The sequence below is a fragment of the Homo sapiens genome, chromosome 8 (genome assembly GCF_000001405.40).
Source record: "Homo sapiens chromosome 8, GRCh38.p14 Primary Assembly".
Taxonomy (NCBI): Eukaryota; Metazoa; Chordata; class Mammalia; order Primates; family Hominidae; genus Homo; species Homo sapiens.
In genome coordinates, this window is record NC_000008.11 from 139984077 (window position 1) to 140002983 (window position 18907).

At 42.1% G+C, this 18907-nt stretch overlaps 1 protein-coding gene across 15 annotated transcripts in view; it reads right to left on the minus strand.

The window, feature by feature from the left end:
- The window catches only part of TRAPPC9 (trafficking protein particle complex subunit 9), a 730855-nt gene that overhangs the window by 256352 nt on the left and 455596 nt on the right, over nt 1–18907 (minus strand). For 14 of the 15 annotated variants that reach the window (NR_164662.1, XM_011517326.3, NM_031466.8 and 11 more), the window contains one exon: nt 4650–4760. The exons of the other annotated variant lie outside the window; for it this stretch is intronic. Coding sequence is in view for 13 of the 14 variants with exons in the window: in XM_011517326.3 (XP_011515628.1) it covers nt 4650–4760 (111 nt within the window). In the remaining variant the exon portion in view is untranslated. The remainder of the gene's footprint in view (nt 1–4649; nt 4761–18907) is intronic. 15 annotated transcript variants of the gene reach the window in all.

Here is an 18907-nt window from a genome sequence, read left to right on the forward strand (position 1 = left end):
ATGAGATCACCCCTTCCTACTAGGAGGGAGGAGAGGCGGCAGGCACCACAATTATCTAACTGGGGTTGGTCTCTCAGATTGCAGGCCACCTTTGAATGCCAGTTCTGCAAACGGCAGCATCCAAGCCATGTTAATTCCAGGAATCTGGCTCTTCCTTTAAGAGTAGGCTGTGCTATCTGCAGAGAAAAGTTCTGTGCACCTGCCTCCCTCCCAGGTAGCAGTGAGAGCACCACCTTCCGCTCCTGCTGGTAGCGATGAAGCTGGAGTCTCAGCCCCACTACTGCCCACACCTCCAGGCAGAGCCCATGCCCTCCCCACTCCAGAGGGCAGATCGCAGGCAAAAGAAGCTTCTTTAGGTTTAGCACAGCCTGGGGGTGGGGGGCCGGGGGGTGGTGGCAGGGGTGCCTCCTCGTAGGGGAACGGGAGAGCCAGGAGAGAGGTTCGGCTCAGGACTCTGGGAAGGAACTGGATACTCAAGACACAAAGCCTGGAAGGACAGGGACCAGGTCTGAGGTCTGTAAGGTGCTGTCCGGCGTTGCGAAGTAAGGTAGAGCCATTTCCACTTCCTCCACCTGCACTGCTCTGCACAACCCCTCCACGGAGGCCGAGTGTGCATCTGACCCACAGGAGGCCGGTGAGGCACTGAGAGAGGTTTGGGAAAGGGAGGGGAGGGGAATCATGCATTCTAGGGCTCAGGGCAGAGTTGCATGGATTCATGGGTATCCCCAGCAGTGGGCACAGCAGGGGAAGCGCCTAAGATGACTTCCCAGATGGACGTAACCTCATGACCTCTAGTTCACCCAACGCTCCCACCCGGCCCGGGACAGCAAGATGCCCTTGTCAGGCAGAAAAGGGCAGCCGCTCTGGCTGGGTTAGACACTTGTCCCAATGTGTTGCCAATCCCCAGCGAGGAGGGGCCCTTATTTATTCTTCTCAGCACGCCTGAAGCCTGACACGGGGCTTACCACACAGCAAATTGCTGAAGTATCAATATTTATTGAATGAATATTTTATGAATAAATAAAAGAATATTCGAGTTAGAAGCATTCAGAAATGAGAATTTAAGCAAAAACTTAATAACAAAAAAGCCTGAAGCACAAGACTAAATTGTGATTATTTGCAGCTGGGATTGTTAATGTCATCAGCCTCACATTGCCAAGAATGAGTCAAGCTTACTATACAGGACAAGCTTAGCAATTTATAATTTCTTTAAAGTGTTTTATACTAGTGTCATAAGACGACCAGATTTATGTTCTCTGGGATCTTGGACTACATCAAGTTATTTAGATAAGAAAGAGCAGTCCGAGGGCTGACAGTTCCCTATGCAGCAGCACTGGACCCAGCACTGCCAAAGGCGTAGACCCCAGAGGATGCATCGATGCTCCCTGAAGGCACCTGTCCTCATCCTGAGGAACCTGAGGTGCCGCAGCATCCAGCCACAGCCCTCACGGCTCATACACACAGAAGCATACACCAGCCCCACGCGCATACCCACACCCAAGTGACAAGTCCTTTCCAAGGGATCTTGGGAAGGAGGATTTTCTGGCACCTCTCAAAGGCAGGCCATAAATGTCCCCCAAGCCATTGAATCTCTAGCTTCCAGCAGCCCAAACAGGACCTGCTACAAGGCTGCAGGGCCTGGCTTGACATTCATGCGTGTCATTAACAATAATCACATTAAATATGAATACCCTGGAAGCCACCTCACAGTGAGTGCATTAGCATGGAAATGAATAAAGTGGCATATTTACACAATGAAATATTAATAGCAGTTCAAATGAAAGAACCAGATTTATATTTAGCTCCAAAGAATAACGCTGATTTTTAAAGTTTTAAAAGGACATATATGATATGGAACCACTTATGCCATTGAAAAAAAGACTCTCGGCCAGGCCTAGTGGCTCTTGCCTGTAATTCCAGCACTTTGGGAGGCCGAGGCGGGCGGATCACAAGGTCAGGAGTCCAAGACCAGCCTGACCAACATGGTGAAATCCCATCTCTACTAAAAATACAAAAATTAGCCGGGCGTGGTGGCAGGTGTCTGTAATCCTGGCTACTCAGGAGGCTGAGGCAGGAGAAACGCTTGAACCCAGGAGGTGGAGGTTGCAGTGAGCCAGGACTGTGCCACTGCACTCCAGCCTGGGTGACAGAGCGAGATTCTGTATCAAAAAAACAAAAAACCAAAAAACAAAAAAACTGTCAAAATAATGTTTGGGTGGGGATATATGTCTATACAATAAAGTAGTAAAACATGGATGTGGAATGATACCATCACCTCTAAGAAAGAAATTACCTTAAAGAGGAAGGAAAGAGAAAAGAAGATGGGATGAGGTGGGCAGAAAAGAAGAGCTTAGCTATTTTTACTTTTATTTTTGCCAACAATTTCTTCTAAAAAATTTCAAATATAAGGTGAAAAAGATTTACACTGAACACCCCCCATATGCCCATTAAGAGACGCTACTGTTAACATTATACTATATTTGCATTACCACCTAATGTGTTCATCTGCCCATCTATTAATCTGTCAGATATTTTATAGAACTCAAAGACTATTGTAGCTATCATGCCCCGACCCCAAACCCTCCAGTGTGCATATCATTAACAGAGCTCAACACTGGCTTAGTTTTTCCTTCTGCTATAAAGCTGATACATCATGAAATGTACAAATCTCAAGTGATTAGTTGCCGAGTTTTGACGAATAGATACATGTGTGTAACCCAAAACCCTACTGATGTATACAACATGACCATCACCTAGAAAATTACCTTATGCCCTTTCCTGATCAAACCCTGTTCCAATCTCTCCAGAAGGAACCAATGTTCTGAGTTTTTCCATCGTAAATTGGTTCTGCTTGTTCTATAGGTTGGTGTAAAAGTAATGGCAAAAGCCGCAATTACTTTTGCAGCAACCTACAGCATTTCGTATCAATGGAACCACATGGCATATGCACTTTGGGTAAGGCTCCTTTCACCCAGCATCCTGTTCCTGAGAGTTGCAAGTGCTGTTCTGTGTATGAGTAATTCATTCGTTTTTGTTGCAGAGTACCACACCATTCCGTTTGTAAGAAAACACCGCCATTTGTTTGTCCGTTCTCCTGTAATGGACACCTGGCCTCTATTTTCTGGCTAGAACGTTGTATAGGTCTTCTTGTGACCATATGTTTCATATTATCCTTAAATAAATAACTAGGGTTGAAATAGCTGGGCAAAGGGTAAGTGTATGTTTAATTTTACAGGATAGCCCCAGACCTTTTTCCAAAGCAGCTGCACTATTTTATATCCCCACCCACAAGGCATGAGAGTTCCTGTTGCTCCACACCCTCACCAACATTTGGTGCTGTCTTTAACCATCCTGATGAGTGTCTCATGCTGTCTCATCGCGGTTTGGACTTACATTCCACCACTGATTGATAATGTTAATGTTGCTATTTTAAAAAACATTTTATTTCCTTAAAACAAATGAAAGAGGCAGAGAGAGAGAGAGAGAGAGAGAAAGATCTGGGGCAAATAAAACAAAATCTAGGATGTGGGTATGCCAGTTTCTAAGTGATTTTCTGTATGTTTGAAGTCTTCAGCAATTAAAAATAAAAATATTATTCCCTCTAGAATTCCATGTGTAAGTGTGTGTCCCTAGAACCGGGCTGGGCTTGGAAGCACAGCCTCTTAGTATGGAGGGAGGGTGAGTGGAGAGTGGGTCAGGGGCCACTGAGGGGCTCCGCCATGGAAGGACAGCATCACCCCGGAGTCACTGAGCTCCACCTGCCTCCGGGCAAGCCCTGGCCTCGCTCCTGACCAGCTCTCACTTCCGCATCAGCTCCTCACTCACCTCTGCCGGGCCAGGGGTCTCCTGAGGCTGACCCTGGCCAGCAATTGGTAGTGCGGCCTCTCTTTGCCCTACAGAGACTGGGCTTGGGTGACTGTGCTCCCCTCCCGAAGGCCTGAGCCTTGCCTGTCTTTCTGTAGCATTAATTCCTCTTGATGCTGACATGCAGTTCCCAGACTGATGCCAAATATTTCCAGATACCACCTCTTTTTTTTTTTTTTTTTTTTTGAGGCGGAGTCTCGCTCTGTCGCCCAGGCTGGAGTACGGTGGTACGATCGATCTCGGCTCACTGCACCCTCTGCTTCCCGGGTTCAAGCGATTCTCCTGCCTCAGCCTCCCGAGTAGCTGGGATAACAGGCATGCACCACCATGCCCGGGTAGTTTTTGTATTTTTAGTAGAGACGGGGTTTCACCATGTTGGCCAGGCTGGTCTTGAACTCCTGATCTCAGGTGGTCTGCCTGCCTTGGCCTCCCCAAAGTGTTAGGATTACAGGCGTGAGCCACCACACCCAGCCCAGATACCACTTTCTCAAGAATTTAACAGCAAAGATGCCCGGATGCTGCTGGGTCCTCAAATGTGGGCTCTGAAAGCACATGTTGCTACTTCCTCAGACGCCATCCGGCTTTACCTACTTTGCACTTAGCTCTAATTTAAAACGACTCCAGATTCTCCCACCAAACTTGAATAGTCACTACGGTATCTCTGAAAGGGAGACAAACTGCCCATCCTCTGAGGACTTGGGGTGGATTATCTCCACACCCTCCCAAGCAGCGTGGTGAAGGCAGAGGGTGGCCTGCGGCGGCGCGAGGGTCTATGGGACACTTACCGCTGGCACTCACCGGCGTGCAGGATGAGTGCCTCGCTGCTCCTGGTGCTGACGGTCAGCTCATGCTCGGTGGAGTTGAAGACATCCAGGAGCAGGTGACACTGCCGGGTACTGCGTTAAAGAAAAAAGAAAGTTCAGAATCCTCTGACAGCCAAAGAGGAATGACTTTCCCTTTTTCTCCTCTCCAAAGACTTCCCACCACTTAAGAAGGGCAAAGTATATCGAAATGCCAAGTGCTCCTGGGCTCAGAGGATTACGGAGACTGGTTCTGAACACGAGTGTGAACTCTAAGGAGTGGGTGTAGGCATCAGGTCCTCATCAGGTCCTCCTTGGGCCCGGGGTCCTGGGGACATGTGTTCACAGCTCAGCCATGCCTTTTACCAACCAAGTGGCCTTGGGAAGGTAACCCGAATTCTCCAAACCTCAATATACACTGACGACTGGAACACCTGACTCTAAAGTCTGATCATCTGCAGAGAAACACAGGCATACAGTGCCATTCAAGGATGCTGTGTCCAAGCCAGCATCTTCAGCTACCAGGTTCCACGCTGGGCCCTGAAGCGTGGTGACGCATGTCCTGCTTGTGTGTGTGTGTGCACATCCAGCACGAGCTTCTCCCATGCGGGCACCTCTCGAACTGGGGCAGACACTGCGGGGTCTACTCATCACCCTCCGAAGCCTCTACTCTTTTGTTTCCTCTCCTCCAGAGGTGACAAGTAAAATGCTCAAGTTCCCATTGTTCCTTGCAAGGGCTGGTCCATGTGATGAAGTTCTAGCCAGTAAGGCACAGTCCCCTAGAGACTTTCCTTCCCAAATACAAACGCGATGTCCTGGGAGAAGGCTTTTAGCCTTCCGCCTTCCTCATTCCCCTTCCTTTCTCCCTGGAAGCAAACAGGATGCTCAGAAGCTCAGTAACCATCAGGGACAAAAACCACAGGCTGTGGATGACAGAGCAGGGTCGGAGGCGCTTGAGAGCCGTCACTTCTTTGGGTGGCCGTGGCAGCCCTGCACTGCCGGCCTCTCTCTAGCCGTGTGAGCTCCATGTACAAAGTGGAAAAGTCCAGCCCCAAACGCGCCGTCCGTGTCCGTCACCATCTGATAGGTTAACGTCACAGTTGAATGCTTGCCGAAAACTCATACGGTATCTCAGACACCAAGTATCACAGTCAGCACGTAACAGGTCATCGATAAATGTCTGCTGAGCTCAGTGGATGGCTGCACCCACGACAGGACAGACACAGATGACAGCAACTGAGCAGAGGCCATTCTTCTTGGAAGAGCAGGGTAAACAGTTTTCATGGGGGGAGAAAACACAGAGAAAAAGATCTGTGCTCTGGGTCATTATTATCAGCCTAGTGTGACTTCAAAACATGGCCTTCCAAAGGGCATTTGAATTCTCAAATGTATTTCTCCAAGTGGGAGGCAAGGCTTTGCTGGCTGTTAAAGGAAAGTCTGGTCAAAGGAAAGGGACAATCGCCTGTGACTTCATGACAACAGCCTCGGGGGTAGTCCGTGGAGCCCCCTGCACTGGAGACGGAGGCTCAGGAGAGGACAGCCATGCTGCTGTGATGCCCGAGGCCCTGGATGCAGAGCTCGAAACCCTCGGCTTTTCCCAATAGATGTGGACCTCTATTCATTCCAAAGCCACACATGTCCGCGGCAATTTCCAGAGAGCAGAACTGAGGTACAGGGGGTAGAGTGACAGGCCCAGAAGTTCACACACACACATATACACTCTCATACACATGCACACACAAGTAGGACTTTGTCAAAAGGCCACGGGGCATCTGTGAAATATCAATTTTTCAGAACGTGGGCGTGTGACCTGCTCTCAGGCAGAAAGCAGGAACATGTCACCATTTCTTTTTCTTTTTTTTTTTGACAGAGTCTCACTCTTGTCGTCCAGGCTGGAGTGCAGTGGCACAATCTCGGCTCACTGCAACCTCCACCTCCTGGGTTCAAGAGATTCTCCTGCCTCAGCCTCCTGAGTAGCTGGGATTACAGGTGCCCGCCACCATGCCCAGGTAATTTTTGTATTTTTAGTAGAGACAGGGTTTCACCATGATGGCCAGGCTGGTCTCAAACTCCTGACCTCAGGTGATCTGCCCGCCTAGGCCTCCCAAAGTGTTGGGATTACAGGGGTGAGCCACGGCACCCGGCCACATGTCACCATTTATATCATGTAGCACAGCGTCAACAGGGTGCCGCACACCTTGAGATGACAGCTCCCATCAGTTGAGTCTGGGTTTTCTGGGTGGGGCTGCCTTCCCCAGAGGTTTGGCGCTTGGAAAACATTCATTAGCTCTGACAGCTGCCTACAAGAGGCCTCTTCACTCAGCTCACAGAAAAATGAGCTTCCGAGAATGAAGATCTATTCCTCTGTTGTCATAACTTCATGAAATCTTTAATCACAGCAAAATCTTTCATCAGAAAAGGGAACTCGTAAAACATTTATCAGAGGAGGAAAATTGAAGTGATTTTTTAAAAGCCTGGAATAAAAGGTTCAAATATATTTTGTTTTCACTCACAGAATACGGTGCTTACGAAATGGCACAGGAATGAGCAGCATCAATACACAATGCATTTCTGTCCTCTTGCTCTTCTTTTTTCTGACTCACTGTCTGAGTGTGGGGGCGTCTGATCTAGTGTTTCTATTCTTTCTAATTGTTGACATGATGATGTATTGGTGGAGCTTGGCTTCCTATCTGTGAATAAGTTTCCTTTCCCAGACTGCAGCAGTGGTTTGTGCCATCATAATGTCATTTATTCTGTGTACCTTTCCATATGGCTTTGGATGCTTGGTTTTAAGGCTGATGCTCTGAGCATATGGTTTACCTTAATTCTTGTTTGCTTTTTGGGTTTGTTTTTTTTTTTTTCTGGACACATCTGTCTGAAGTATGGGGAAATCCAAGAAAGCTTCCTGGAAGAGCTGAGACCAAGGCGAGTCTCTGAAGGGGACAGACACGTTTGCCTGGCTTAGAAGACACAAGGGAACAAAGTCCTGGCAGCATGGAGGAGCCCAGCTATTTTGGGAATCTGTAGTCAGGTTGAGTGTGGGAGACCAGGCTGCCAGGTGAAAAAAATAAGCCCTTTTTCAGCAAAGAGAGCAGTTACGTATTAATAAAACCACTCTGATACAGTGAGTGGGCACTGTTTATTCAGCCCCAAATTGGAGATTTTATTAAGTATTTCATCCAAAAAATACCTCCTGAGGAACTGAATGAGAAACACAAGATCCCTACATTCATGGCTATTATACTCCTGTGAGGGAAAAGGGCAGGACCAATGGGGTTGTTTTAAAAAATAAAATTTGCTGTCATTTTTTATAAACTTATAAAAAAAAGCTGAAAAAGATTGTTGAATAAAAGATTAAGACATACAATCAATCCCAGTCATACACATCAACTAAAAACAATTACAAGACAAACTTTTTGAGAAAATACATTTATAATAGCAACACAGTCCACAACACAGGTAGAAATAAATCTAACAAAATATATGCACGATATTTATGTAAAAAATTATAAATTCATGGAACAATATTAAAGAAGAAAAATAAGTGTAGAGATGTACAGGTTGAGTATGCTTGGACCAGATGTGTTTCAAATTTTGTTTTTAGATTTTGGAATACCTGCATTATACTCACCAAGTGAGCATCCCAAATCCAAAACTCGGAGATGCAAAACACTCCAATAAACATTTCCTTTGAGCATCACGTCAGTGCTCAAAAAGTTTTGAATTTTGGAGCATTTCAAGTTTTGGGATGCTCAACCCACGTTATGTTCAAAGATGGAAAGACTTAATATTTTTAAAGAAATTATCTCTTTCCAAATTTCTATAAACTCAATGCAACTCAATAAGAAAAATCCCAAAAGGGTTTTGTTAAAACAATGATGTGGGAGGTTTTTTGGAAGGAATCTGGCCTACTAGATGTCAGGAATTGTTATAAGGCTGTAATCATGAAGACAGAGGCACTTGGGGCAGTGACAGAGAAATACATTAGTGAAAGAAAAGATAGCTACAAAGCAGACCCATGAATATAAGGAAACTGGAGAGATGATTGTATTGGTGGCATTGATTAATTAGGACAAGAGTCACTGAATAGTGCTGGGAAAAATGACTATGCAGGTACACAGAAAATTAGATCCCTACCTCACATCATATATAAAAATAAATTCCAAACAGAATGAATAGCTAAATATAGAAAAACAATATTTAAAAATCTTTAGACAAAATATAGATGAACAGTTCATGACCTTGGAAAAAAGAAAGACTTCTCAAATGAGTTACAATACATATAAAATATAAGGGAAAAGAATAAAATGTTTGGCTGCATTAAAATTAAGAATTTTGGTACAATGAAAAACATCAAAAACCAAAGCAAAGACAAGCTTCATTTTTAATGCGTTGCAAATATCTTTTCACAGGCATTTGCAACATATTAAATTGACTAAGGATTTGAATTCTGAATTTATAGAGAACTCCTATAAATCAGTAAGAAAAAAATGACCCAATAGAAAATTAAGCAAAGGACAAGAATCAATAATTTAAAGTAGGGGAAACCCAATGACCAATAAACAGGAACAGAAGCTCAATCCAACTAGTAGTTAGAGAAATGGAAATAAACCCCAAGAGTATTATTTCTCACCCAACCTATTGGTAATATTTTTAAAGCGTCCCAGTACCAAGAGTTGGTCAAGCTATAGATCAACAGGAAATACGGGAATTCCTGTCACTGCTGGTAGGGATACAAATTGGTACAACTCCTTCAGACAGAAAAAGAGTTTGACCGAACAATTCCATTTGTAGCTGCCTATCTTGGATCAACTCAGAGTTTGGTAAAGGGGCACATTCAAAAGTGTTCAATGCAACATCATTTATAAAAGTAAAGAACTGCTTTTAACTAAGTGCACATCAACTGGAGAGTAGATACAGACATACAATGGTAGAGTTATATGATGGAAACCTATGCAGAGGTGACAATGAATTTAAAAGAACTATATGCCCCACCACAGACAAATCTCATATTAAAACTGCTGGGTAAATAAGTTGCAGAAGATATACAATATATATGTATATCAAATTTTAAAATATGTTTTAAAATACTCGATATTATCTATAAATATCAAATTTAAGAGTAGTCATTCATGCTAAGAGAGCAAGAGACACAGTGTGGAAGAATATACAGAGCTTTAACAGCATATTTTTATTTCTTTAAATTAAAAACATAAAAGCAAATATAATATACTGAAATATTAAAAATGGACAAGTCTGTATGGTAGACAAATTGATACCTCCTAGACATTTATTTATGTTTCTTATACTTGAAATGTCTTATAAAAAGTTACTTTTAAAGTCATTTAGACTAATGTGTTAGCCTGGGATCCCCCCAGAAAGCAGAGCCTGAGAAAAGGGTTTGCACAGAGCTAGTGCTTAGGGAAGGGATGCCAGGAAGCATGTAGAGTAGGCAAAGTGGGGCAGCAGAGGAGAAGGTGATGCCAGAGGGCATGTTGCTGTGCGTCGCTGAGCTGGCGGCCCTGTGGGCAGCTGGGGCTCAATCATCGTCCTTCTGTGGAGCCGAGAGGATTGCGCTTCACACTGTGCGCCTGAGGCACAGAAGAGGAAATAATTGCTCTCCCAACTCTTTCCCTCACTAGTCAAGCTTTCCCCCAGAGGGGTCAGTTCTCTCACACTTCATCCATGCACTGTGCAGAGAGACTACCCATAGCCACCCAAACCTACAGCCTCAGAGAAGGCAGTTAGAATATTCCAGAAAGCAAGAGATGCTCACGACGGCTATGGTAAGGTGCTGTCAGGTGACACCTGCATAAATTTGGTTGCCACGGCAATAGCTAGTCTAAAAGTGGGCTACTATATGAGGCAGAGCATAAGACATGTATGACACAACTATTTCTTAAAAATTAAGTGAGTCTCTTGACATTAACACGGATGTTTTAAAATGACTTCAGATCTGATGGTAAACAAGGGCCTCCCTGAAGAAATGATGTTTCAGTTAGGAATCCAACAACAAGAAAGCAATCATGTGATGGTCTTGGAGGACAGCTTTCCAGAGAGAATGAGCAGTTAAAGCAAAAATCGTAAGGCACAGTGTGATCAAGGAACAGAACAAGCAGAGAGTGGTGTAGGAGTAAAAACAGAGGAAAGGTCATGGGGAAATACTCATATTTCATTCCAAGCAAAATGGGAAGGTATTTTGAGAGTTTTAAGCAGATGAGTGACATGAATTGGTTTGTGTTTAAAAAAAAAAAATGGTGAGTTCCAATTCTGGAAAAGATGGAGTAAGCACAATCTACCCTGTCTCTCCCACTGAATGCAACTATAAATCATAGAATGCACTGAGCTGAAGATGAAGACTCAAAAAATAAATGTTAGAAGGTGGATCACAGTAGGAGCCAGAAACTGAAGTTATTCTGAACTGGCAGTGAGCTGCATCTCTCTCCAGTACCACCTGGCCTCAACTGAAAGGCAGCGTGGACTCCAGAGGCGTGCCCTGTGTATAGCCAGACAGAGCTCCCAGGGCAGCCTCTCTTCCTGGTCCAACAAGTGGGAAAAGGTACTATGAAGGGCCACAGAAAGTAGGAGAATCCCTGAGTCTTTTCCCTTTTTTCTTCCCTTTTCTCCCAGCCCAGCCTCAAAGCAAACCACAGGAGATAATGACATCAGAGCAGTATTGGCGGGACAGGCTCACACACCTCCCTGATACAAACCACCTCACTGACCCAAAGAGCTGAGGTCCCAAAACCAGGGGGCCAGTTTGCATCACTCTGATTTCCTTCTCTGTGCCTCTGGACAGTCAGTCCTCCATGTAGACACACAGAGGGGGAAGCTCATATCCTGCCTTTGTAGCAGGCACATAGGGATAAGAGCCCCCAGTAATTTGGGAAGATTTCAGAAAGGAGATTGATTCAGAGAGCAGACAAAGTCAAGCATGAACTCCTAAGCTCACCAGGGAGCTGAGCTTGACAGAATCAGACCCTCAAGAGCAAACCACGGGCTTTGATAACTGATCTCCAGGCAAGAATGCCGACGGGCACCCACATGCGGCTGATCCAAGAAGCACCACAAATGCTTTGAAACTGGAACTGCAGCACAGCCTGCAAAAGGTACTCTGCATTAAAAAAAAAAAAAAAAAAAAAAGTACCAACATTTTCCTCAGTATTCAAACAAGATCCCAATGCCTCCCAATATTATAGTCAAGATGTCCAGAATACGATCTAAAATAACTCAACACAGAACCAGGAAAATATCAAGTCATGAGGAAAAAGTAAGTAACAGACAATAACTTCAAGATGACTGTCTTATTAGAAAGAGACTTTAAATGCATTCCAAGAACTGACCATACTTGAAACAAGTGAAAAGACGGAAAATCTCAGCGAAAAAGAAGATAAAAAAAGAACCAGAAAAACTTAAGCAAAAAAAAAAAAAAAAAAAAAAAAGAAAGGAAAGAAAAAAAGAAAAATTCACCACATGGTGAATTATCTTAGTAACTGAGAGGACAAGTAGACATAAAATCAGAAAGAATATAAGATAAACAAAATTACCATTGACCACCCAGATCTCACTAATACTCAGAGAACATTCCACCCAAAAGCAGCAGAATAATCATACTACCCAAGTGTACATGCAATATTTACCACCAATCACATTCCAAGACCATGGGTTGGGGGTGGTGGGGGAACTCTAACAACTGTAAAATAAAAATCATACAATGTGTTTTTGGGATCAGTAAGGAATTAAACAAGTAAATGTGAAGATAGATTAACAGATTATCCAATGGAAACAACAGGGGAAAATAAAACAGAAAAAAAAAACACTCTTATGGGACAACGAAACCTCTAAAAATCACGTCACAGGAGACTAAGAAACAAAGAAGAAAATAACATGCCATTTTTAAATAAATAATGGCCACACCCCCAAAAAGAATTGGCAAATGACATAAACAGATTCAGAAACCCAAAAAGTTTTTTGTTTTTGCTGTTGTTGCTATTTTTTTGTTTGTTTGTTTGCTTTTGAGACAGAGTCTCGCTCTGTCACCCAGGTTGGAGTGCAATGGCGTGATCTCGGCTCATTGCAACCTCTGCCTCCCAGGTTCAAGCGATTCTCCTGCCTCAGCCTCCCAAGTAGCTGGCATTACAGGCACACACCACCACACCAGGCTAAACATTTTTTATGGTATTTTTAGTAGACACGGGATTTTGCCACGTTGGCCAGGCTGGTCTCGAATGCCTGACCTCAGGTGATCCACCCACCTCTGCCTCCCAAAGTGCTGGGATTACAGGCGTGAGCCATCACGCCTGACCCAAAAACTATTTTTTTTAATCCCTGCCTGGAAACATAATCAAACTGCAGAAAGCTAAAGAACAGAAGCCATCTGGAAAGCTGCCAGAGCAAACAATACATCCTGCACAGGGAAACAATGAATTCTACACAGAGGAGACAATGCATCCTGCACAGAAGAGATAATGCATTCTACACTAGGGAGACAGTGCATCCTTCATAGGGGAGACAATGCAACCCTCACAGGGGAGACAATGCACCCTACACAGAGAAGACAATGCATCCTACCCAGGGGAGAAAATACATCCTACACAGGGCAGACAACGCATCCTACACAGGGCAGACAACGCATCCTACACAGGGAGACAATGCATCCCACACAGAAGAGACAATGCATCCTACCCAGGAGAACAATGCATCCCACACAGAGGAGACAATATATCCCACACAGGGGAGACAATGCATTCCACACAGGGGAGACAATGCATTCTACACAGGGGAGACAATGCATCCTACACAGAAGAGACAACGCATCCTACCCAGGGGAACAATGCATCCTACCCAGGGGAGACAATGCATCCTACACAGGGAGACAATGCATCCCACACAGGGGAAACAATGCATCCTACACAGGGAGACAGTGCATCCTACACAGGGGAGACAATGCATCCTACACAGGGAGACAATGCATCCCACACAGGGGAAACAATGCATCCTACACAGGGAGACAGTGCATCCTACACAGGGGAGACAGTGCATCCTACACAGGGAGACAATGCATCCTACACAGGGAGACAATGCATCCCACACAGGGAGACAATGCATCCCACACAGGAGAGACAATGCATCCCACACAGGGGAGACAATGCATCCCACACAGGGGAGACAATGCATCCCACACAGGGGATACAATGCATCCCACACAGGGAGACAATGCATCCTACACAGGGGAGACAATGCATCCCACACAGGGGAGACAATGCATCCTACACAGGGAGACAATGCATCCTACACAGGTAGACAATGCATCCTACACAGGGAGACAATGCATCCTACACAGGGGAAACAAAACAACAAATTTTTCTAAAGTCTGAAGAATCCTCATAAAAAACCACGGAGGGCAGAGAAAGTGAATCATTTTTAAAATGCTGAAAGAAAAGAATGTCAACTCAGAAGTCCATATCTATTAAAGTATCTTTCAGGAATAAAAGTAAAGACATTCTCAGATAAAGGAAAATTAAGAATCTCAGTCATCAGTAGAACTTTTCTAAAAGAACTGGGAAAGAAAGTCCTTTAAACAAAGGGTGAATAATAATACAGGGAAACTTGAACACGAAGCAAAAAGAGTAACAAAAATGGTAAGTATCTGGTTAAATGTAATTTCCTATTAAGTTACTTAAAAGATACACAATGGACTGGGCGCAGTGGCTCATGCCTGTAATCCCAGCACTTTGGGAGGCCAAGGCGGGTGGATCACAAGGTCAGGAGATCGAGACCATCCTGGCTAACACGGTGAAACCCCGTCTCTACTAAAAATACAAAAACAAAATTAGCTGGGCGTGCTGGTGGGCACCTGTAGTCCCAGCTACTTGGGAGGCTGAGGCAGGAGAATGGTGTGAAACCAGGAGGCAGAGCTTGCAGTGAGCCTAGATCACACCACTGCACTCCAGTCTGGGCAACACAGCGAGACTCCGTCTCAAAAAAATAAATAAATAAATAAAACAAAACAAAAAAAAACAATGAACGATATATGATGAATACAAGCTAAAATTATAACATTGGGTTTACAATGTATACAGATTTAATACATTATACAACTAAGACATGAGGAGGGGAAAGATAAAAGCGCCTATATTTGAGATTCCACCAAGTGATAAAATATTATTTCTAAGTCAACTGTGAAAACCTAAGAGCACTTATTATACTCCCTAGAGAAAACACTGAAACAGCTCTACAAAGAGATAAAGTTAAAAGCTCAATGCTTTAAAAATCAAATAGTTTAAAAGAACATAAAAAAGGAGAAATGGAACAATAAACAACAGAGTGAATAAACAAAAAACAAACCAAAAATACAATGGTAGACCTCAGTTCAAACATACCAAGAATTACATTAAATATAAATGACTTAAATAGTCTCATTAATAGACAGAGATTGTCAGAATACGTTTAAACAAAAAAAAACACTCAACTATATGCTATCTATAATAAATCCACTCTAAATATAATGGTATAGATATGTTAAAAGTAAAAGAATCATGCCAAGAAAACACGATTCAAAAGAATACTGGGCTGTTATATTAACATCAGACACCTAAAGAGGGACATTATATAATGATAAAAGCATTAATTCACCAAAAATACACAATAATTATTAATGTGTATGAACCTAACTATAGAGTTTCAAAATACATGAAATAAAAAACTGAAAGGATGAATGAACCAAATCACAATTAGAGACTTCAACACTCTTCTCTCAGTAATTGATAGAACACAGACATGAAATCAATAAAGACATAAAAGTAATAAACACCACCAACCACTTCATACTGATTGATAATTAGTGAACACTCCACCCACCAAGAGCAGAATATACATACTTCCCAAGTGCACAGCAACATTCAACAAGGTAGACCACATTCTAGGCCACAGAAAAAATCCTGAACTAATTTAAAATATAAAGCATACAAAGTATCTTCTCTGACCAAAACAGAATTAACCTAGAAATCAATGGTAGAAGGAAAGCTAGAATAACTCCAACTATCTGGAAATTTAATCAATGCACTTCAAAACAACCCACTGTTCAAAGAGGAAGCCCCAAGAGAAATAAAATATTTTGGAGTGAACAAAAATAAAATATGATATATCAAAATTCTGTGACTGGAGCTAAAGCAGTACTTAGAGAAAAATCCATATCATTAAGTGATTATATAAGAAAGAACGGCTTCAAATCAATAAGCCTATCTTCTATCTTAAGAAACGAGAAAAACATGGTACTGGTACCAAAACAGATATATAGACCAATGGAACAGAACAGAGGCCTCAGAAATAACACCAGACATCTACAACAACCTGATCTTTGACAAACCTGACAAAAACAAGCAATGGTAAAAGGATTCCCTATTTAATAAGTGGTGCTGGGAAAACTGGCTAGCCATATATAGAAAGCTGAAACTGGATCCCTTCCTTACACTGTATAAAAAAATTAATTCAAGATGGATTAAAGACTTCAATGTAAGACCTAACACCATAAAAACCCTAGAAGAAAACCTAGGCATTGCCATTCAGGACATAGGCATGGGCAAAGACTTCATGACTAAAACACCAAAAGCAATGGCAACAAAAGCCAAAATAGACAAATGGGATCTAATTAAACTAAAGAGCTTCTGCACAGCAAAAGAAACTACCATCAGAGTGAACAGGCAACCTACAGAATGGGAGAAAATTTTTGCAATCTACCTATCTGACAAAGGGCTAATATCCAGAATCTACAAAGAACTTAAACAAATTTACAAGAAAAAAACAAACAACCCCATCAAAAAGTGGGTGAAGGATATGAACAGACACTTCTCAAAAGAAGACATTTATGCAGCCAACAGACACATGAAAAATGCTCACCATCACTGGTCATCAGAGAAATGCAAATCAAAACCACAATGAGATACCATCTCATGCCAGTTAGAATGGCAATCATTAAAAAGTCAGGAAACAATAGATGCTGGAGAGGATGTGGAGAAATAGGAATGCTTTTACACTGTTGGTGGGAGCGTAAATTAGTTCAACCATTGTGAAAGACAGTGTGGCGATCCCTCAAGGATCTAGAACTGGAAATACCATTTGAACCAGCGATCCCATTACTGGGTATATACCCAAAAGATTATAAATCATGCTACTCTAAAGACACATGCACACGTATGTTTACTGCAGCACTATTCACAATAGCAAAGACTTGAAATCAACCCAAATGTCCATCAATGATAGACTGGATTAAGAAAATGTGGCACATATATACCATGGAATACTATGCAGCCATAAAAAAGGATGAGTTTATGTCCTTTTCGGGGACATGGATGAAGCTGGAAACCATCATTCTAAGCAAACTATTGCAAGGACAGAAAACCAAATACCACATGTTCTCACTCATAGGTGGGAGTTGAACAATGAGAACACATGGACACAGGGTGGAGAACATCACACACCAGGGCCTGTCACGCACACCAGGGGGGTGAGGGGCTGCGGGGATAGCATTAGGAGAAATACCTAATGTAAATGACGAGTTGATGGGTGCAGCAAACCAACATGGCACATATATACCTATGTAACAAACCTGCACATTGTGCACATGTACTCTAGAACTTAAAGTATAATAATAATAATAATAATAAAAAGAAACCGGACAAAGAACAAATGCTTAAAGGAAGCATAAGAAGGAGATAATAAAGGGCAGAAATGAATTAAAATGAAAGCAGACAAATAGAAAAATATCAGTAAACTAAAAAACTGATTTTTAAAAAGATCAATGTAATTGATAAACCTCTAGCCACAATTACAAAGGAAAAAGGAGAGAGAACACAAATGACCAGTATCATAAATAAATGAGGGAATACCACTTCAGCCACAGACATTAGAAGGACAATAAGGAAATACTACAAACAACTCTCCTCACATAAATGTGACAACTCAGATGAAATGGACCAGTTTCTTGAAAGTCACAAACTACAAAAATCCATCCAAGAAAGCACTTATCCACTGCTAGTAGTGATGGAAAATGGTACTACCACTCTGGAAAACAGCTTGGCAGTTTCTTACAAAGTTGAATAGTGAAAAACACATCATATAATCCAGTAATCCCAGTCCTAGGTATTTATCCTAGAGAAATGAAAACTTAAATAGGTAGCCTGAAAAGTCCTAAATCAATTAAATAAATTAAACATATTGTTTTAAAAATCATTCTGAAAAAGAAATCTCTATGCCCAGATGGTTTGCTTATGCATTCTACCAAGCATTTCAAAAAGAAATAATTCTATACAAAATAGCAGAAGAAACACTTCTCAGAACATTTTATGAGGTCAGCATTATCTAATACCAAAACCAGACAAAGACGGAAGAAAAAACGACCACAAATACCCTTCATACCAATAATACTCAACAAATTTTTTGATACCAAAAAAAGCATCTGACAAAACTCAAATTTCATTCATGATTTAAAAAAAAAAGCACTCACCCATCAATAGAAAAAAACCCCTTAATCTTTAAAAAATATGGACGCTAAGAAGTACAGAATGCTGATGAATAAAATCAAAGACCTACATAAACAGAAGTATATGCAGTGCTCAGATTGGAAGGTGCAATATACTTATCCATTTTTCCCAAGTTAATTCATAGATTTAACAAAATTCCAATCAAAATCCTAGAATGACACTGTAGATGTAGACAATCTTATCTGAAGATTTATATGGAAATACAAAGAAACAATAGACAGAACAATTAAAAATAAAAGAAAAACTCTGAGGACTCAGAGTTTTAGAGGATTCGACCCAATTTTAGTAGTAAAAGATTTACTGTAGGGTACACTAACATAGTAGTAAAGACTTATTCTAGGGTACACTAATATAGCAGTAAGGACTTACTACAAGGTACACTAATCAGGACAGCGTTGTACTGGTGAAAGAATATCCACATAGTTCTCTGGAGCAGAATAAAGTGTCCAGAAATAGAATTACACACAGATACAGTCATTTTATTTTTGACTAAGAAGAGAATTCAACGGAGAAGAGATAATCCATTCAACAAATAGTGTTGGGACAACTGGATTCCACTTATCAAAAAAAAAAAAAAAAAAAAAAAGGAAAAGAAATTTAAACTTCACAATTTATACAAAAGTTACTCAAAACACACAGGTAAATGCAAAACAAAACTGTACAATTTTACAAGAAAACATAAAAGAAAAAAAAGCACAACCA